Raw genomic sequence first — 22099 nt, forward strand, 5'->3', positions numbered from 1 at the left:
CAAATTTAGGAGCATCAGGTTTTAGATGGCTTTTAAGATCCATGAGACCAGATGAGATCACCTAGGGACTGAGTGTAGATGGAAAAGAAAAATGGCTCAAGGACTGAGTCCTGGGACATTCAAAAGTTAAAGAGTTGGGGAGGTGAGGCAGAGCCAGGATAGGACGCTGAGAAGCAGCAGCCAGCTGGGCACAGGAGAGCACAAGATGACCAGGAGAGTGTGTGTGTCCTGGAAGCCAAGCGATGAGAATATTTCTAGAGCCACAGTGATAAATTCTGTCCACTGATGCTAAACAATCAGGAAAAATGCAGACTAACAACTGTTGGAGGAATTAGCAATTGATCATGGGTGACTAGCCAAGAGTAGTTGGGTGCAATGGTGGTGGGATTGGTGGGGATGGAGAAGGAGCTTGAGTGGAGCATCTTTGAGAGAAGGAAAGGAGATGATTTTGTGGGATGACCACCTCGTCCTGGTTTGTCTGGGAACTTTCCTGGTTTTAGCATGAAAGTTTGCATCCTATGACTTCTGGTTTGAAAACTGAAAGATCCCATGTCCTGGAACCCTTTCATTTCCAGGCAAACTGGAGTGGCTAGTCACCTCAATTTGAAGACAGGGGAATAAATATGTTTTTCAAGAAATGGTGTGTTAACTGGAGGAGCAAATGATATCTATCTATCATCTACCTACCTACCTACTATCTATCTATCTATTTGAATATGGAGGCAAAAACGCGTGTTTGCATCCTGATAGAAAAAGCCCAGTAGATAGGGAAGATTTATGAGTTAGGAGTAAGAGGGAAGGGTAGCTGGTGCAATGTCTTCATTATTGTATTTTATTTGAGTGAGATAAAATACAATGGCAGCATCAGTGGATGGGTGGCCCTAGCGAGGAGCATGGCCAGTCATCCATTGTGGCAGGAGGGATGGCAGAGGCATGGCTAGAGCGGCAGGTGAGTGGGCAGATGATTGCCTAAATTTTGCCAGTGAAAAAGGAAGTGATGTCATCAGCTCAGAGTAATTTGGGGATGAGGGTGTGGGAGGTGAGGGTATGAGAATGAAGGCATAAAGTATTTATTTAGGGCAGTGGGAATATGGAATGGTTCAGGGAGTAGAGAATGCTTGCTCTCCAGGATCCAAGCTCTCTTGAGGTTAGTGATCATGGATTTAAAACGGGGCTAGCCTGCATAGTGTGGTTTTCTCTGGCTACATTCAACAGCTCGAGTGTTGGCACGGAACAGGAAGAGAGTTGGAGGACTTGTCAAGCAGCCCTGATAAAGCAAGAGGAGGACAAAGGAGCAGAGGCTGTGACTGATTATGACATTGAAGCTGGGCAAGAAGGAAGTGAGGACCCAAGAGAAGAGAGAGAAATGAAAACCAGTAGAATCAATGGATTTGCATCCCAGTGGGACTAGAGGATTGTTGGAGTTGGGTGCCAAAAGGAATGAGCTAGAAAGAAAGGAGGTGGTGGTTGGTCTGAGAGTAGAATACTTGAGATGGTGGGGGTTAACTGTTGTAACAACAGTGTCTATGGAATGACTGTAAGAGCAGTCAAAGTCCTGTCAACTTGCAGCTGTTTTCTGGCACCAGCTCAAAGTGAGGCTACACCCTTCTCCCTCTTGCACATGAGTCAGACTCTGTCACTACTGGGCTGCTTGCCCACTCAGCTTAAAACCGTCTGGCACACCTCCCAGCAAGAACATGGATTCTATTTGAAGAACAGGAAAATATGTCACACTGATGAACATTTGCCCACACACCCAGGGTGGCTGCATGATGGCAGCATGTTGTATACACCTGTGTGATGAGTTCTTGTAGGGTGGACACATCACCTCCATCTCTATGTCCTTTCAGCCCTAGAACTGTGCCTGGCACACAGTTGCTACTCAATGGATGCTTACTCAAATGACTTATATAGGATTGACTGCTAAATGGAGACTGTTATGAAGATGTCAGTCTCTGCTCTGCAGTCTCCTCTGATGCAGGCGATTCCCTCATGGAGAGAATTTTACAGGTGGAGTTCAGGGAGCCTTTGTTCTTGCTTCCCTGAATCCTTTGCAGGAACACAGCTGAGGCATGTAAATGGCCTTCAAATGCAGCATAATACCAAGTGGCTCTCTTTTCAAAGAGACTCAGAGACAATCCCTGCATGCTTTCCTTCTCAGACACTTGTGGAGGAGACCTAAAACCCCATTCGACCCATCGGATACCAGCGGGCAGCAATGACAGGATGGTCCTGCCCCCTCCATGTCACAAACATGTTCCCAGGACACTCTCCACAGAGTCCCCAAGTCCTGCCAGGGGGACAGCCAGTCCATCATCACCAGAACACCCACCCCTGCCACACACACACAGTTCATTTGCTGCTTTATGAAGCCGATCTTTCAAAGGAGAACAGTTCTGCTACAATCCAGGTGGCAAGGGTCTGAGAAAACTGGAAGCCAGGGAAAAGTCCAGAAGCCAGCAGAGGATAGGAAGCTGGTGAAAGTCCATGAGAGTGACTTAGGTCTAAGATCCTCATTGCATGAAGGCAGTGAATGAGTTTGGCTGGTGATCTGTGTAACCGTGGACCTTGGTTTGCGGATCTGTGAAATGGGAAAATCACTCACAGGTGCTTTGTGCAGACCAGAGGATGGAGCCATAAGTTGCGAGCTGTGTTGATGAGCTCCAGCCATGGTTTTCCTTTTTCTTCAGGAGGCCCGAGCATTGCCCAGCACTGGGAGGGTTAGGGGTGGGGGCAAGGAGGCATGAGCTTTTGTCACCTAATGGTGACTTTGCTTTGGGATTCATTACTTTCCCCAAGAAGGGGAGGTTGCAGCTGCCTTCCTCAAAAATTAATAGTAGGAAGGGCCTGTTGAAATGGAGGTTGGGGAGAAAGTGGTGGGGGGAAGGACTGGAGGTCGGTGACATCTTCCTCTTCTACTCCTTCCTCTTCCTTGGTCAGTTCCACCCTGTGCTCTGCCTTTGAGGGACCACGGTTCACAGTGTTGATCCCAGCAGAAGTTGTCCCTTCCTCCAGGAGGTGCCACACTGAACCTCAGTCTGAGCTTAGCCCAGGAGGTCCAGATTCGAGTCCTGGTTCTGTCCTGACTAGAGGCATGACCTAGTGCATCCTGTTCCCTGGTGGAGTCTCAGTTTCTTCATCTGCTCCTTCCCTCCCCACCAGGAGTGGGGGTGCTTGCCTTAGCACCCAGCTTGGGAAACCCTTCCCCCATGTCACAGGCCCAGCTCGCTCCTCAGATCAGCTGTCCTCAGGACACCAGTGGGTGTTGTAATTTGACATTTCCACCTTTGGCTTCCCCCAGCAGTGGAGCGGCTTCACAGTAACTCCACTGGTGCACGGTGAATGTGTGAGAAAATGTATGCACTTTTAGAAATGACCGGACACTGGTGGGTTTTAACTTTTACCTTGAAGGCCTTCATGGGTGTGGTTTGCAGAGAAATTCTCAAGGCCTGCATGGTAACTGAATATAGCTGAGATGCCCATTTTGGGCAAGAGCTGGTCCAATTGAATATTGCCAGGTAGGGAGAATTTTGGAAAATATGGCCTCCTCCTTCTGTTCAGGGGAGTGAGAGGAGAAAACAGAGCTGAAATAATGTCATCTACTAAACTGCCCCAGTTAGCAATCTCACTGCAGAATAACAGAATAAAATTAACGTCAGCTGTGTTTCCCGAATGTGCCTGCAATACACGGGTCTGTGCCAGGTTCTTTACAAGGAAATTTTGATTCATCCTCACTGTAATCCCAGGGACTGAGTGCCCCAAATACCCACTTTACAAATGAGAAAATGGAGGGTTGAAGAAGTTGAGAGATTTGCCCAGCAGTTAGGAACATGGTTTGTAAAAAGCTCAGAGTGAACCCAATGCTGAAGCCTCTTCTCCAGCTGCATTGCTGCTTCTCCAACTGGATGTGGCCTGCTCCTGAGTGCAGTGGAATAGGAGCATCTCTCTGTCTGTCTGCTTACCTTTGTTCCAACACATAGCCTCGCCCTGTTTTCTTCCCTCTCTAAGCCCAGCCTCGAGGGCCTCAAAGGTCCCAGGGGAGGATTGAGAGCTCCCTTTTCTTGTGTTTACCTTTTTAAGTCTTACATCAATGGCACATGATGGGTGCATGCTCTCTTAGAAGTGGAATCTAAAAAGTCCAACTGTTAGAAGCAGGAGCAGGAAGGGGTGGCCAGGGGCTGGGGAGAGGGAAGATGGCAGAAGTTGATCAAGGGGAAAAAGTTCAGATGAACACATTCCGGATTTCTACTGTGCACCACGTGCCTAGAAGTATGTATACAGCGCTGTGTGCTTGAAATGTATTAAGAGGCTAGATCTTAAGTATTCTCACCATACAAACAAAAATGGTACTCGTGTGAGGTGATGGATCTGTGAATTAGTTTGATTGTGGGAATCATGTTCAATGTATACACGCATTGAAACAGCACGTTGGACACCTTAAACATACACAGCTTTTATTTGTGAATTCTACTTCGAGAAAGCTGGAAACAGATAAAAATGAAAAGCACAAATTAGAAAACAAAGACAAACCATCTGTGGGCACAATTTCTGTATGGCAGCCTGATTGTGACTTGTGTCCACAGCCTGGGGGATGACTCACCATTGAGAATTTATCTTCCCAGCTTTAGTTTCCCAACTGCCTTGGCCATAAGAAAGCGTGCCTTCTTCCCTCTTCCCACCATGACTCACCTAGTAGCTTCCTGGTGGCAGGATGCTGGAGCCTCCTAGCAGCTCCAGCGTGGATAAACCAAGCAAAGTGGGGTGTGGAGGGGAAAGCTGGAGACTGTCAGCCCTCTCCATGGGAAGGGTGCTTGAGGAGTGTGAGAAAGTCCCATCAGGATGAGCTCAACCCTCAGATCAAGGCAGCCCATTGCATGTCCGTCAGGCCTTCAGTGGGGAATGAAAACTCAGGACTGAGCAAAGTGCACAGTCCCCACCTTCTAGAATCCCACAGTCCACACACAGTCTAGAATAGGAGTGACTCTGCCCCCCAGGGAACATCTGGCGATGACTGGGGACATTTTTGGTCATCACTACTGTGGGGGTGTGTGTGCTGCTGGCATCCAATAGGGAGAACATCCAGGGGTGCCGCTAAACATCCTACAATGCACGGGAAAGCCCCTGCACCACGCAGGACCGTCCAGCCCGTGATGTGCCTGCAGTGCACGGGAAAGCCCCTGCACCACGCAGGACCGTCCAGCCCGTGATGTGCCTGCAGTGCACGGGAAAGCCCCTGCACCACGCAGGACCGTCCAGCCCGTGATGTGCCTGCAGTGCACGGGAAAGCCCCTGCACCACACAGGACTTTCCAGCCCGTGATGTGCCTGCAGTGCACCGGAAAGCCCCTGAACCACACAGGACTTTCCAGCCCGTGATGTGCCTGCAGTGCACGGGAAAGCCCCTGCACCACACAGGACTGTCCAGCCCGTGATGTGCCTGCAGTGCACGGGAAAGCCCCTGCACCACACAGGACTGTCCAGCCCGTGATGTGCCTGCAGTGCACGGGAAAGCCCCTGCACCACACAGGACTGTCCAGCCCGTGATGTGCCTGCAGTGCACGGGAAAGGCCCTGCACCACACAGGAATTTCCAGCCCGTGATGTGCCTGCAGTGCACGGGAAAGCCCCTGAACCACACAGGACTTTCCAGCCCGTGATGTGCCTACAGTGCACGGGAAAGCCCCTGAACCACACAGGACTTTCCAGCCCGTGATGTGATGAGGCTGAGAAACCCTGAGCTGGAAGAAAGGGCTGGGCCTAGGGACAGAAGGATGGGTGGAGAGAAGGCACTCAGGGCACAGCACGTGGGTCACCACTTGGTGATTCGTAATGACAGGGCATCTGGAGGATCTATCAGGAAGCAATGTGATTTAGGTCAGAGCTCCCCAGTCCTTAATATGCTCATGAATCTCCTGGGATCTTATGAAAATGAAGATTCTGGTTCAGTAGGTGTGCGGTGGGGTCTGAGAGCCTCTGATTCTTACAACTCCCGATGAAGCCAGTGATGTTGGTCACAGACTGCACATTGAGTAGCAAAGACCTCAAATACTTGAGAAAAGCAAGGAACTTGATCACAGAGTGTGGCCAAGAGGAGAGATGTGCAGATGGCTGGAAAGTGGCTTTTGTGTAAAGCCTCCTTGACAAGTGACCAATAAAGAAGCCCGGTCCCGGCTCCCTCTGAGTTAATCACCAATCATGTTGACTGCATCAGTATATGAGCTGGAAAGACAGCTCCTTGGCCACTACCGAACTACAGTCCATGGAACCGTAGCTTGTTGAAAGGTCTTTTGTTAAAATGCCTGCCATGTTCACATGCTGTTTGGGAAATGCTGAGTAAAGCTAAGTCAGACATTGTTCCATTCTGTACAACTTCTCAGTGCTTTGAAGTGCTAAGGTGAATTGCAAATCTCTCAGAGGAAGATGCAATGTGACAACATGGTGGTCGTGGTGATGATGATGAGAATGATTTTATTGTGCCAGCACAATTGTTTCCATCTCTTGGAGGAGTCAATGGCTGAATCCTGTTTGATAATTAGTGCGTGACCTAGTCCCACCCCCTCATGTCATGGTCCAGAAGACCAGAGGGATTTCATCCTCCAGCTGCAGAGACTGCAGAGGTGGATGTCGAAAGGGTTCCACAGCATGCAGGGGGCAGGGGTAGCTGAGGTTTTACCTTACTGGGAAGGGCTGAGTCCATGTATCAAAATTCTCCTTCATCAGTGCCCCTTCTATCTTTCTGACTTTCCCCATGTCAGAAGGAATGAGTACTGCAGTGCCATTGCAGCTGGAGGGCAGCTGGAGGGCGTAACCGTGCAGGTGATAGAAACACAGGGGCAGGAACCTACCCAGCCGCTGCATTGTGGGCACCAGGATCATGAGACTCTTGCTCATCGAGAAGGGCCTGGTCTCAGTGAGCTTTGGGTCAAGCAGGGGAGCAGTGCTATTTACCTTTATTTATTTATTTATTTGAGATGAAGTCTTGCTCTGTCGTCCAGGCTGGAGTGCAGTGGCATGACCTCGGCTTGCTGCAACCTCTGCCTCCTGGGTTGAGGCGATTCTCCTGCCTCAGCCTCCTGAGTAGCTGGGATTATAGGCACACGCCACCACGCCCGGCTAATTTTTTTTTTTTTTTGTATTTTTAGTAGAGGCGGGGTTTCACCATGCTGGCCAGGCTGGTTTTGAACTCCTGACCTCAAGTGATCTGCCTGCCTCGGCCTCTCAAAGTGCTAGGATTACAGGTGTGAGCCACCGCATCCGGCCGCTATTTGCCATTATTTGGGTGGGAGAAACTTATCTAGAGAGAGGGGGCTGGAGAAGGGTTAGGCAGATGCTCCATGAGAGATGGAGAGAGGACCCCTGGGTTCTTCAAGGTATTCCTGGTCTAACCCTGAGGCTTAAGGCTCCCTGCTATCCGTTAGGGCTGGCAGGCCATCCTTCCACTGTCCTCTGCTGTGGTCATCATTCTTCCCATCTCTGAAACCCCTGTGCACAGTGCACCAGGATTTGGCAAAAACCTTCATTCAAAGCAAGTCATCAAGGAAAACCTGAAGGTGGGAATGGGGGTGGGGGTGTCACAAATCCCCTATTTCTTAAAAATGTCCAAAATCTGGATTCACCTTCTGGCTTAGTGGGGAATTTCATTCAGCCAATAATACAAGTTATAGTGTAGTGAGTGCCTCTGTGCTCAGGGCTTAGCTCTTTAAGGAGTTGAGAAAGAGAAATAGTGTGTGTGCTCGTGGTACACAGTAGGTGCTCAGCAAAAGCTGGCTATTACTGATACTAGCGGCGACGCCTTTTCTGCAGGCTGTTCTCTGTTTGCCAGTTCCTGCCCACCCCTGCGCCCCACCAGATCCTTTCTCTGCCCTGTTTTGTGCCCTGAGAGGCTGACCCCTTTGGACTGAGCTGCTGGGCTTTCCTGCCAGCTGGCTTCCTCTTGGGTTTGGTAGTGGGAGCCCTGGGCAGGAGAAGAGAGAGGCTAGGGTGTTCCTTCCCATTCCCTCCCTGCTTCTGCTCCACATCTTTGGGAGTAGCTGAATCCCCTGGTCACTGCAGATCACCCCCTCCAAGCACCCCTCTTCTCCATGGCTCCAGCTCCCACCCTTTCCTCCCCTGGCTCCTTCAGCTTTGAGCAGGTAACAGCTCCCTGCTTTTGCTAACCTCTGGGAGCCTCACCTTTGCATTTTTTTCCCTTAACTCTTTCCACACCACTCCACATAGTCTCTTCATTAAAGCCTCCTCCTTTGAACCCTTGAAGGGACTCTGAGTATCACTTTATTTAATACTTATGGCCAACCCCTGCAAAATACTGAGTCCCAGGGAGGTAAAGTGGCTTACTTGAGGTCAACAGCTTGCCAATGGCTAAGCCAGGATTCCAGGCCAGTTCTGCTGACTCTAAAGGTGGGTTCGTTATTTGATCCTTCACTGGCTGCCTATTTCAGAATAAGGTGACCCGCAACAAGTTCCCTCTGCATGTGAGCCCTGCCTGAGGGCTGAGCCTCTGAGCTCTTCTCTCCTCTTATTGCTGACAGCCATGCAAAGAGCTGTTTCCTCAGGTGCAAACTGGGAGCCATGGGGACGCCCCGTGAAGCAAGGGGACAGGTAATTTTTACTTACAGGTTATGTACTAGGAGTCTGGTGCATCCACAGCGCCCTCAAGTCTCACCCTGGGCTGAGGAGTTGAGGGTAGCACACGTCATTTGCCGATTCTGGTGGTGGACATAGAGTTACATGAAAAGGTCAGCTTGTACCTTTCTTGGGCAAATGTTCCAGCCCTCAGCTCACTGCACTTATGTCTTTTGGATGCTACAGTGTGCGGTGCTCATGGTGCCTGGGGAACCTGGAGGAACAGAACCTGCCGGGCTGGCCTAGCTTGGAAGGTGGTCACATCTCATTGACAGAGAAGCTGAGAAGGGAAGGATGAAGGTCACCTTCTGCAGGGGAAGCGATTTCCTTATTCCCCCCCTCCCTCCCTTCCTCCCTTTTTCCTTCCTTCCTTTCCCCTTTGCATCCATCCATGCACCCATCCACTTCAGAAGCACTTGCTGTATGTCTAACCATGGGTAGGCATTAAGAGGGATTTAGGGAAGAGTAAACCTTATCACTGCCCTCAAGAGGCATGTCTCACTTGATGCCCTGTGTATTAGTCAGGGTTCTTCAGAAGGATAGAACTAGTAGGATAGACATATATATGAAAGGGGGTTTATTAAGGAGAATTGGCTCACATGATCACAATCCCACAGTAAGCTGTCTGCAAGCTGAGGAGCAGGGAAGCCAATCCAAGTCCCAAAACTTCAAAAGTAGGGAAGCTGACAGTGCAGCCTTCAGTCTGTGGCCAGGAGCCCCTGGCAAACCACTGGCTTAAGTCCAAGAGTTTAAAAGCTGAAGAACTTGGTGTCTGATGTTCAAGGGCAGGAAGCATCCAGCATGGGAGAAAGCTGAAGGCCAGAAGACTTAGCAAGTAAAGTCCTTCTATGCTCTTCTTCCTGCTTTATTCTAGCCGTGCTGTCAGCTGATTAGATGGTGTCCATCAGATTGAGGATGGATTGAGGATGGGTCTGCCTCTCCCAGTCCACTGACTCAGACGTTAATCTCCTTTGTCAACATCCTCACAGACACATCCAGGAACAAAACTTTCATCCTTCAATCCAATCAAGTTACACTCAGTATTAACCATCACACCCTGGATGCATATTGTCTCCACGTTCAAATCCCACTGTCTCTGGGATGGGAGGTGTAGGTGTAGAAAAAACTCTGAACTTGGGAAACACTGAATTGACTGAAAGAACTCTGAGCTGACAAAGTTTATGCTGAACTAACAGAACTCAACTAGAACTGAACAAGATCAAGTCTCCTCCACCAGGCAGGGTTGAAGTCTGAGGACTCAGTGGTGGTTCCTGTAAGCATGTGGCCTTGAGCTGGGTCCTGAAGGATGGGCAGGATTTCAGCAGCCAGAAAATAGGGGAGAGAAAACACTGGCTAAACAACCTCTGAGCAGTGCCCCAAATGGACTCAGAGCCTCTTGTGGTCATGCTGTGTTCCTCCAGTTTGTTCATCTGCCTTTGCTCCTTTTTGTACTTCTCCGGGCATGAACAGTATCTTATTTCTGTATGCAAAAACCCAAGAATGTGGCTCAAAGACTGAAAGATGAATATAGAAATAGTACTAATAATGATAATAATGCCTGCAAGGATAGCAGCCATTCTTTTTATTTGTTAAATGTCTTTTAAGTGGGAGAATATCTGCTATGTGCTAAAATGACCCTATGAGGAGGCATTAGTCCTATTTTTCAGATGATCCCAAGAAAGGCTGAGGCGGTTGTTCAAAAGCAAACAGCTTATAGAGGCTGAGGCAGGCTTGGCATGTTGAGCTACATGACACCCAGTTCTGCATTCTTTCTATCCTAAGATGACTTCTTGGGAATAAGCATATTCTTAGGTTGCTGCTAAGGTAAGAAGAGAACCAGAGGGTGGCTTGAAGGCTTGGTTAGGCTCTTGAGTATTGAAAAGAAAGAAATTCATATAGCACTGGTTTGAAGCTGTTATCTATAACACACACACACACATACACACACACCCCACACCCATGAACAAACACCTGTTTTTTTCTTGGTTTAATAATTTGATCTAGAGATTTTTTTGACACACTTTCTTGGGATGAAATGGCCATTGTTTTTATCTGATACATCAATTTCAAGCATTTGGTAGGGCGTGCATCGGAGACTGGGTTAAGAAGTGTTTGAGACGCCATCTCTTTGTGAGATTATGCCTTAATCTGTTAACTATGTAATCATGACTATCTCGGGTATGGAGAGAGGAAGTGGTAAAATAGATATTTTAGTATGAATTAATCATGCTCTGGAATACCTAGGAGTTTCGAAAAGTGAAGGTGGGGGAAGTGGGGTAGGGGAGGAGAGAGAGAGGTGTAGGTTACTAGGAGCCAGGTTACCTAAATTAATGAAGTTGATAAAATCTAGGACTCTGGTCCTGGGGAGGATGTTGGATATCTGGTCTCATCTGGTCTGGGAGAAGAAGGTATGGAACAGTAGAACAATTCATGATGTAGGACCCCAGACAATGAAAGGTCCTAAATACTACATAAAAGTCTTGGAAGACGCAAAATAAAGGCATTTCTGGTCAAGAAAGGGATCAGACTCAGAAAACCTAGGAGCCAGAAGACATTTTAAATATCACCTAGGACAGGGCAGTAGTAAATTTTTTCCATCTAAGCTGCCATCTTGGGTTTCTTGTTGTGGTTCCTGGAGTATTATCTTGAGAAGGATTCTGAAGCTGTGTCTGAACAAAGATGGAAATAAGGGCCATGGTTGTTAGCGATGTTGTCATGGGTGTGAGAGCAGAAAGGGTAGTGTATTAGTTTTTTTTTTCATGCTGCAAATAAAGGCATACCCGAGACTGGGTAATTTATAAAGAAAGAGGTTTAATGGACTCGTAGTTCCACATGGCTGGGGAGGCCTCACAATCATGGAGAAAGGTGAAGGAGGAGCAAAGGCATGTCTTACATGGTGGCAGGCAAGAGAGCATGTGCAGGGGAACTGCCCTTTATAAAACCATCAGATCTCATGAGACTTATTCACAATCATGAGAATGGCATAGGAAATACTTGCCCTCATGATTCAATTACCTCCCACTGGGTCCCTCCCATGACATGTAGGGATTATGGGAGCTACAATTCAAAATGGGATTTGAGTGAGGACACAGCCAAACCATATCAGGGCGGCACACAGGCCATGTACTTGGCATTGTGAGTCTAGTCAAGGGCCCTTAATTTATAGATGAGGAAGCAGAGGCTGAAAGAAATGATAGGGATGTGCCAAGAGTTACAGAGCTGGGGGCTAAGTGAGCATTAGAATCCGCCTCTTGCCTTCTGAGCAAGTGTGTTTCTACTCCACCATGCATGCTCTTGGGACTGGCAAAAAAATCAGCCAATTCTCAGAGGGTCTAATGGGGATAAACACCTGATATCAAGTGAGTATTGATTGTGACCGCCACAGTCCTGATGATCTTCACCTGCAGGCACTTCTTTATTGAACAAATAAGATTTTTAGCCTGTTTTCTAGTTCCCTTGATCCTGTCTCTGGATTTTTGCCCCCATTTCTTGAGCACCTACTATGTGCTTGGAACTTTACATGAAACACCTTATTTAATCCTCACAACAACCCTACAAAGAAGCTGTGATTATCCACGTCTTTGTGAATGAGAAAGTGACATTCAACGGACTTACTGGAGATGATGGAATTTGTGAGTAGTCAGTGCCAGGAATGGAACCCAAGCTCCTACTATACTTTTGTCATGTCAAATTGCTTGGGCTCTTGTAGGTTTCCAAACAACCTTGTCTGGTGTCTTTATTTGTGGAACAGCATTGGGTGTCAAAATTCAACTGTGGTAAAAGTTCTATGCTTAGAGCCCCATCATTTGACATTAGCTGGCTTTTAGATTTCAGTGGGCGATGACTTCTCTTCAGTGTCAATCACTTCTTCCTAATGCAAACAGTAGCACATAATCAGTTCCCAGCTCATCACACCCTACAAGAACTTCCTCTACTAAAATGCTGCCTAAAGTCCTCCTGACATTTGTACTCATCCTGAGAGTTCAAGAAGGTGATCAGGCCACTGCTACACCTCAGGACACCTCCCTTTGTACAGATTAGAAAAAAAAAAATCTATATTAGTTTGCTAGGACTTCCATAACTGAGTACCACAAACTGGATGGCTGAAACAACTGAAATATATTGTCTCACAGTTCTAGAAGCTAGAAGTCCAAAATCAAACTGTTGGCAAGCTTGGTTCCTTCTGAGAGCTGTGAGGGAATGATCTGTTCCAGGCCTCTTTCCTGGGCTTACAGATGGCCATCTTCATGTTCATACAATGTTCTGTCTGTATCTTCACATTGTGTTCCCTCTATGTGCATGTCTTTACATTCAGGTTCCTCCTTATAAGGACACTAGATGGGTTAGGGCCCTAATAATCTCGTTTAACTTGATTACCTCTGTAAAGTCCCAATCTCCAAAATATGCTCACAATCTGAGATATTGGGGATTAGAACTTCAACATAAGAATTTTTGGGGAAATATGATTCAACCCATTACAGCATCTCTCTGCCCATGCATAACTTGACAAGTAATAGTATGCCATTCAACGTTTTATTATGAAAATTTTCAAATATAGCAAAGTTGAAAGATTTTTACAGTGGACACCTTAAACCTATTACTAGATTCTACCACTGACATTTTACTATGCATGTTTTATCACATATTCTCTGGGGTAATGACATCTTTGTGCAAAGAAAAAAAAAAACCTCTTCAACCAGATGGATGCCACCATACAGCAGATACATCACTTGGCAAGTAGCACCTGGGTTGGGATTCAGGCCTCATGCTCCCTCTGCTAGGCACCCATGTGCAGTGCACAATCTGTACTACTGGCCACATTGACCCAAAAGACAATCCTCTGAAGAAGCAGAGCAACAGAGTATCTACAAAGCCCTTGCTTCTTTTTACAAAGAAGTTTATGATTCAACGCTGTTCACTGAGGCTGGGTGCGGTGACTCACGCCTGTAATCCCAGCACTTTGGGACGCCGAGGTGGGTGGATCGCCTGAGGTCAGGAGTTCAAGACCAGCCTGGCCAACATGGCGAAACCCTGTCTCTACTAAAAATACAAAAAATTACCTGGGTGTGGGGGCGGGCACCTGTAATCCCAGCTACTTGGGAGGCTAAGGCAGGGAGAATCACTTGAACCTGGGAGGCAGAGGTTGCGGTGAGCTGAGATCGCACCATTACACTCCAGCCTGGGCAACAGAGTGAGACTCTGTCTCAAAAAAACAAAAAAACAAAGAAACAACTTCATCTCAAAACAAAAACAAAAAGTGTTCACTGAACTTACATGGAAGTCACACATAGCATGATGTGTAGCCAGCCCAGGACTGGCATGTGGTGGCACAGAGTATAGGATAAATAAGTGAATGAATGATTCATGCAGCATGAGATGGTTGAATGAATGAATAATTGATGGACTGAATCTACTTCTTCATAAGCCTAGTTTATGTGAACAATGACTAGCAATCAAAAAAGTGTCCAGACACCAAGCACAGGGAATGCCCACTAGGAAGATATATACTCTTCTTAGAAGCAGCTTTGATGGCACAATTACTGAAATGATTCAGATGACAGTTATTCTGAAACCCTTGCGCTGACAATTCATGTTGCTCTTGTTAGATTTCTGCTCCCATTCAGTCCCCCACCAGATTCTGGGAGGAACTTTCCCAGCATGTAATGATAGAGGTTAAAGGTGTATATGTATGTGACTCTCAGTGGGATCACCATCCAAGGCCAAGGGAGAAGCCTTGAAGATCCAGCCAACAAAATGAGCAAAATCATGTTTATCAGGTCAGTGACTCTTGGAGTTGCTGGTGCTTCCCCAGGCTGGAGATTGAGTTAATATTAACAGGCCCAAGGCGATGTGGGCTTGTGCAATCATAGGCCCGGCCACCTCCCCCGCAGTGGACAGTCCTGTACATTCACCCCACCTCCTGCACCCCAGTTATAATGCTCAGGAAGGAGAGAGGTGGGCTGGGACTCTGAACAGCAGCATATGTTTTCTCTCTGAACCAAGAATGTCGAACTCCAGGGGGCCGCATCAGCATCCTTTTAGTGGATGCCACCGAGTCCTGGGGGCGTCTGAAGGCACCACGTCACTGTCTCTGGGCGCAAGGGCATGTTGTTGCAGAGAGGGCAACAGATGTGCATGACAGGAAAGTAAGCTCCGGGATCTCCTTACAACTGATCTTGTCTCCCAACAGATTCCCTTCGCCGCCGCCAGAGTGAGCCACCGAAATGCAAATCTGCCCTTGCCACTACCCCATTTAAGAGCCTCTTCACCCCAGCAGCATTTTGCAGCGTGTCCCATGGAACAGTAGAGATGATTTGTGAATAAATAGGCTCCATGGTCTAATAAGTTTGGGAAACCGCATCCTCTTTCTCCCACGTGCAGAAATATTTTCATATCCTAAATTGTAATATTTTAAAGGATCTGGGAAGTCCTGCAGTAAAGATTTATCCAGTTCTTCAAACCCATTTGACCAAGAAAACTTTACTCCCCTAACGCAAACTAACCCCAGAGAGAAATGTCTCGGGGGACCGTCTTCCTTTAGGACAGCTCCCTGCCTTCTCTGTCCAGGACGGAACCTCCCTGAGCTCCCACTCGCCCACCCACCCTCCCCTGTCTCCCAGTACCCACTTCTATTAAGTTGGTGCAAAAGTAATTGTGATTTTTGCCATGACTAATATTTGATTCTTAAATTAATATTTGGTACTTTTAAAAAACAGAAAACTGTAAAGAAGAAAATAAAATGGTCCATGATTCCACTACCCAGAAAGACTCCACTTATTATTAAAAATAAATAATATGTGTCTTTATGAGATTCTGTCCAAAAAAATAATTTTGTGCCTCTACTGGATATCCTCTTTAGGGTCTAGGTACTCCTAAGATTACTTAGAGAAAAAGTCAAAGTCTTTATAGGTGCACAACTGAAGAGCCCCCGTCCACAGCAGGCACTGCTGTCATTTCCCCGGCCTCTTCTTTAGCTTCTCTCTCTCTCTCATACTTTCCACTGCTCAAATCACATGGTCTCCCTGCTTCCCTTGATCATACCAGACACATTCCTACCCCAGGGCCTTTGCACTTCCTGTTTCCTTAGCCTGGCTGATCTTTTCCCTAGATACTCATATGGCTTGCTTTCTCACCCGCCTTGGGTCTCCAATGCCACCTTCTCATTGAGGTCTTCCTTGGCCATTCTATCTGAGTGTGCCCCACACCCCAGCACCCCCATTCCTCTCCCTGCATTATTTTTTCACTGTAAGACTCATCAACTTCCTCTATTCTATGCACAATATTTACTTACCTGGTTTATTTTCTGCATCCCTCGCTGAGCTCCTATGGGCAGGTATTTTGTCTGTTTGTTCACACCTGCACAGCCAGTGCTTGGCACATACTACACGCTCAGTAAATAATTCTTGAATGAATGTGTGTGTTCATGGAAGAAATCAGGCTGTGTACACTGTTCTGTGTTTTGCTTCTTACCATAGTTTTTGCTTTTAGAGATCTCTCCCTGTGAGCCTCTACAGAGCTAGCCTCATGATTTTTAAAGACTGCACCTCTAGTATAGAGGCACATCTGAATTTATATCATCAATTTCCTATTGATAGATTTTTTTTTTTGCTCAGCAAACAATCCTGCAATTAAAAAGAAGAATTTTTTTACATTTGTTTTGTTTATTAATATTGTCATGGGGTAATTCCCATTAATAGACTTTCTGAGTCAAGTAGTAGGGTTTTGTGTTCTTTTAACTTTAATATATGCTACCAGCTTGTCTTCAGAAATAGCACAAATTTACATGCCCTCATATGACAAATGACAATGTCTGTTTCTTTACATGCTCATAGCTCTGCATATTACCAACCTCGTACATTTTTGCTAATCAGATAGCTGGAAAATGCCACTCTGTTAAGTTGATTTGCATTTAAAAAATTGAGAATGGGGTTTAGAATTCTTGCATATTTCCATTGTTAATTTGTATTTTTTTGTAGACTACCTACTTAAATCCTTTGTCCATTTTTCTTCTGGATTGCTTACTGTTTCCCTATGGATTTAAAAGAGTTCTTTAAAACTAAAATGTTTATCTTAGTCATATCTGTTATACAATTTTTTAGTTTATCCTTTAGCTTTTTTATGGTATTTTAAAAATATGCAGTTGAGTATCTATTTTTCTAAAAATTGATGTAAAAATACCATTAAAACCATAAGGATTCTGAGTAATAGTAATATGTTAGAGATTTGACTGGTTTATTATGAAAATATTGGCTGCACAATTATTATTATGTTTGTTATTTAAAGATAATTTGTATTTAATTTTTTTAAATTGTAGTAAAGTACACTTAGTATAAAATCTATCATTTTGACTATTTTTAAGTATATAGTTTAATTGTGTTAAGTACATTCTTTGTTGTGCAATCAATCCCCAGAACTATTTTCATCTTGCAAAACTCAAAATCCATACCCATTGAACAATTACTCATTCTCCCCTGCACCCAGTACTTGGCAATCACCATTCTACTTTCTATCTTTATGAATTTGACTATTCTAGGTACCTCATATAAGTTGAATCATATAGTATTTGCCTTTTTTTGACTGACTTATTTCACATAGCATAATGTCCTTAAGGTTCATCTGTCTTGTAGCATATGTCAGAATTTCCTTCCTTTTCGATGCTGAATGCTATTCCATTGTATGTATATACTATATTTTGTTTATTCATTCACCTGTTGATGAATTTGGGTTGTTCTACTTTTTACCCATTGTGAATAGTGTTTCTGTGAACCTGGGTGTACAAATACTTCATCAAGATCCTGCTTTCACAGTTTGGAGATTTCTCAAAGAACTTAAAACATAACTACCATTCAACCTAGTAATACCATTACTGAGTATATACCCAAAGGAAAATAAATTGTTCTACCAAAAAGACACATGCACATGTATGTTCATTGCAACACTATTCACAATAGCACAGACGGACTCAATCTATGTGCCCGTCAATGGTGGATTGGATAAAGAAAATATGTTACATATATACCTTGGAAGATTCTCCTTCTGCCATAATTTTAAGTTTCCTGAGGCCTCCCCAGAAGCTGAGTAGATGCCAGCATCATGCTTCTTGTACAGCCTGTGGAACCATGAGCTGATTAAACTTATTTTCTTTCTTGTGTGGAAACACGGCTGATTTTTGTGTGTTGATTTTGTATCCTGCAACTTTGCTGAATTTGTTTGCAGTTTAACAGTTTGTGTGGTGAATCTTTAGCATTTTCTACATATAAGATTATGTTGTCAGTGAACAGAGATAAATTTATTTCTTCCTTTCCGATGCGGATTCCATTTTATTCTTTTTCTTGTCCAAGGGCCCTGGTTCGAAACTCCAGTTCTAAATAGAAATGGTTAAAGCAATCATCCTTAGTGACATTATTATATTAGGATTGTACTTCTGCAGAAATTTGACAACTAACAGGTATAAAGTGCAAAAAGGAAAATACAAAATAAAATAAATAGTAACATGGCAACCCCAGTTTGCATAATGGTCTTGAGCTATGAACATAGGCTTAAAGGCAACTAATTGAATAAATGAAATGACCATGGGAAATTAGGTGAGACTTGTTGTCACCATGTGAACTGTTTTTCTTCATTTTCTGTATATGGGTCTTAACTTCCCAGAAGAGTTTACTCAGGTACAGCATATAGTATTAGCAATAGCACAGACATTTCCTCATTTAGCCAGTAGATACTAAAGGATCTACATCATCCAATTTTGTCTACATCATCCAATTTTCAGTGAACAGTTGTTCCTAGTATTCTCTTATAATCTTTTTTTTTTTTTTTTGAGAGAGAGTCTCTCTCTGTCGCCCAGGCTGGGGTGCAGTGGCATGATCTCGGCTCACTGCAACCTCTGCCTCCCGGGTTCAAGCAATTCCCTACCTCAGCCTCCCAAGTAGCTAGGATTACAGGTATGCTAATTTTTGTATTTTTAGTAGAGATGGGGTTTCACTATCTTGGCCAGGCTTGTCTTGAACTCCTGACCTCGTGATCCACCCACCTCAGCCTCCCAAAGTGCTGGGATTACAGGTGTGAGCCACCATGCCCAGGCTATAATTCTTTTTATTCCTGCAAAAAAGTCTCGTAACATCCACTTTTTCATTTCTGAGTTTAGTTATTTTGGTCTTCATTTTTCTCTTAGTCAATCTAACGAAAGAATTGTCAATGTTGTTGCCCTTTTCAAAGAACCAACTCTTCATTTTGTTGATTTTCTCTGTTATTTTTCTATTGTTGATGTTCTCCCTTATTTTTGTATTATCTGTTTTGTAGGTTTTGCTCTAATCTTTAGTTTCCTTCTTTCTGCTAGCTTTAGGTTTAGTCTGTTCTCTTTTCTCTCTAGTTCCTAAAGGTGTAGTTAGGTGCTGGTTTGAGATCATTATTTTTTAACATAAATATTTTCAGCTACAAATTTCTCTCTTAGCACTGCATTTTTGCACACGAAATTTTGGTATGTTGTGTTTTCATTTTCATTTGTCTCAAGATAGTTTCTAATTTTCCTTGTGATATCGTTAACAATTGATTAAGAGTATGTTGTTTAATTTCCTTGTATTTGTGGATTTTCCAGTTTTACTTCTGTTATTAATTCCTAGTTTCATTTCATTTTAATCAGAAAAAGATACTTTGTATGATTTAAATCTTCTAAAACATGCAAAGACTTGTTTTGTGGCCTAATATATGGTGTATCCTGCAGAATGTTCCATGTGCACTTCAGAAAAATGTGTCTTCTGCTGTTTTGGGGTAGAGTGTTCTGTATGTTTATTAGGTCCAGTTGGTCTGTAGTGTTGTTCAAGTTTTATGTTTTCTTATGATCTTCTGTCTGGTTGTTCTATTGGTAATTGAAAGCAGGAAATTCTCCTACTATTATTGTGTTGCTGTCTATTTCTTCCTTCTACTGGGTCAATGTTTCTTCATATACTTCAGAGTGCTGATGTTGGGTGAATGTATATTTATAATTGTTATATTTTCTGAGTGAATTGAATGGCATTTTTGGCATACAGTTTGCATTTTTAAAGGTAAATATATCAGTCCTTGCTTTGTGACTTTTGGGTTTTCTACCTTCTTTAGAAAGGACATATCCACTTAAAAAATTAAGAAAATAAATTACTTCTTACTTTCTTCCAGAACATTGATGTTTCTGATGTTTTAATATTTGATATACCCAGAGGTCTCAACACTATTATTTACCTTGGACTTTATCCTTTAACCCCCGAGCTCATTGTGGTCCACAAGAATACAGATCCCATAGCTTTCTCCCTACTGTGTGGCCTCCCCAATTTACCCTTTTGTTACCCATGTCCTCTTTATTTATCTCTCCTAAAAAACTCTTAACACTCAATTAAGTGTTCTGATCCACCTCCAGAGACATCTCTCTTTTGTTATTGCTGGCTCTCTCTATCCCTTAAATTTCCTCCTAGGAAATAACTACCTTTTATATCAGATGAGCTGCAGAATTAGAGATACAGGCTGGAGAAACAGTGAGGGCCCCAGTAGGTAAAGGATGGGGCCATGAACCCAGATAAGAAAGAGGAAGAAGGTGATGGAAAAGATCGCCAGGTCACCTGAGGAGTTAATGAATACATATCTCCTTTTCAGGCCAGGATTCTAAACAAGAGATCAAAGGTAGAGTCCACTTGGGACGGAAGGGTGGTATCCAGAGAGCAGTGGGGATAAGACACAGTGTCCTCTGGAATCTGGGTAACAAGCTCTGAGGGGCCAGAGCTAAAAGGACACTCTTTCCTCCTCTTTGACCCTTAGGGTGGGGGGCATCCCTAAGGCTGAGTCTTTCCTGCCTCTACAGGTGGAGACACAAGTGAACACCAGGAGACCACAAGGGAGTCCCACCCTGGGGAGGGCAGGAGAAGGGGAAAATCACACCTGACCGAGCCCCGCCCCCCAGCTTTTACCGTCTGTAGGGGCCCACCCTGTGCTGGGCACTTTGTGAGAGATGCAATTCCATCCCCCAACTCACTCTGCCCCGCAGGATCACCAAGGTTCAGACGCCTGGGTTCAGATCCTGGCTCTGGCCAAGAGGAGCTAAAACTCTGCGTGCCTCAGTTTCCTCCTGTGTGAAGCGCAGATAAGAATTCAGGCAGGGAGGCTCACGGCGCTCTCCCCCAGCGTCAGCTCCAGAGGAGGCTGAGGGAGAACTCCTCACCCAGCAGAGCCTGTGGGTTGTGCAGAGAGGCTCGCTGTGCTGCCTTGCACACAGGCCACCCCCACGCACTCTCAGGGCTTCTCGTGCTCATGGGCCAGTCTAGGGGGCTGTGGGGATGCTCAGTGCCTGTGTCCAGGAACCCCCTATCCTGGAAATCAGCCTGGGGCACCTCCAGCTCCTGCCATGCTGTTTGTCTCCAGTGAGCCCGATCTCACCTGAGGGTCTCGCTGTTCTTCCCTGGATGGGCTCAGTCCAGCAGAACCAGCCTGTGCTGTGCAGTCATGTGGGGATGTGGGTGGAAGGGAGCCCCATGGCCATCCAAGATCCAGGTTCCTCTCTCCTTGACACACCCTCAGAGAGGTGACGAGAGGAGCCAAGGAATTCATACACGCTAGGGGCCTGGAACCGTGGCTGACCCTTGGTAGATGCCCAGTAATTGCCAGCTGCCTGAAGTCACCAGGCTTGTGTCTACCAAAACCCTGGCCCAAGAATCTCTCATCAGGAGCTGAAATTCATGTAGCTTGGGCTTCCTAGCCCATTTGTGTGGGTACTTAGGGTGGTGACACCACCTGACAAGTGCCATCCAAGGGCTCCAGGGTGTGACTGGGAAGGACTCATTCTCTCCACTCCAGTGAGGGGTCCTTGTTTCAGAATAAAGAGAATTAAGACCCCTTCATTCTCACTACATCTGCTTCTGTTTCATGTAACACATGCAGTCACAGACAAACACCAACTCAGAGACACACAATCACAGAAACACACACACACAGACACATAGCCACAGACACATCCTCAGTCTAGATAGAAACACCTAGACACACAGACACATATAGACTCAGACAAACAGAGAAACATCACACACACAGCCTCACCCACAACCACATGCAAACACACAGAAACACCTAGGTACCCTAACACACATAGACTCAGACACACAGACTCTCAGACTCACATTGACTCAGGGACACACAAACACAGAAGCACACACATACACAGACACACACAGACATATCCACAGCCATATGCAGACACAAAGACAGAACTACTTAGACACACAGACATATCCACAGCCATATGCAGACACAAAGACAGAACTACCTAGACACACAGACACACATGCACAGACACACACACAGACACACACGCACACACACACACAGACACACATGGTCACACACAAACACACAGAGACACATGCACGCGGACACACACAGACATACCCACACAGAGACACACACACACAGACATACCCACGCAGCCACACACACACACGCAGACACACAGATGTACACACA

The 22099-nt window shown here is 45.4% G+C and overlaps 4 annotated features.

The window, feature by feature from the left end:
- Positions 4958 to 5459: an enhancer, noted in NCBI's record as "H3K4me1 hESC enhancer chr14:94812169-94812670 (GRCh37/hg19 assembly coordinates)". NCBI's record gives its function as "activates a minimal SCP1, AML or CMV promoter by ChIP-STARR-seq in primed H9 embryonic stem cells {active_cell/tissue: H9 hESC(primed)}" and the evidence as "EXISTENCE:reporter gene assay evidence [ECO:0000049][PMID:30033119]".
- Positions 4958 to 6289: a biological region, named in NCBI's record as "BRD4-independent group 4 enhancer GRCh37_chr14:94812301-94813500".
- Positions 5090 to 6289: an enhancer, noted in NCBI's record as "BRD4-independent group 4 enhancer chr14:94812301-94813500 (GRCh37/hg19 assembly coordinates)". NCBI's record gives its function as "activates an origin of replication core promoter dependent on BRD2, P300/CBP, MED14 and CDK7 cofactors, and independent of BRD4, by STARR-seq in HCT116 cells {active_cell/tissue: HCT116}" and the evidence as "EXISTENCE:reporter gene assay evidence [ECO:0000049][PMID:35650434]".
- Positions 20804 to 21304: an enhancer, noted in NCBI's record as "H3K4me1 hESC enhancer chr14:94828015-94828515 (GRCh37/hg19 assembly coordinates)". NCBI's record gives its function as "activates a minimal SCP1, AML or CMV promoter by ChIP-STARR-seq in primed H9 embryonic stem cells {active_cell/tissue: H9 hESC(primed)}" and the evidence as "EXISTENCE:reporter gene assay evidence [ECO:0000049][PMID:30033119]".

Source organism: Homo sapiens, chromosome 14 (assembly GCF_000001405.40).
Source record: "Homo sapiens chromosome 14, GRCh38.p14 Primary Assembly".
Lineage (NCBI taxonomy): Eukaryota > Metazoa > Chordata > Mammalia > Primates > Hominidae > Homo > Homo sapiens.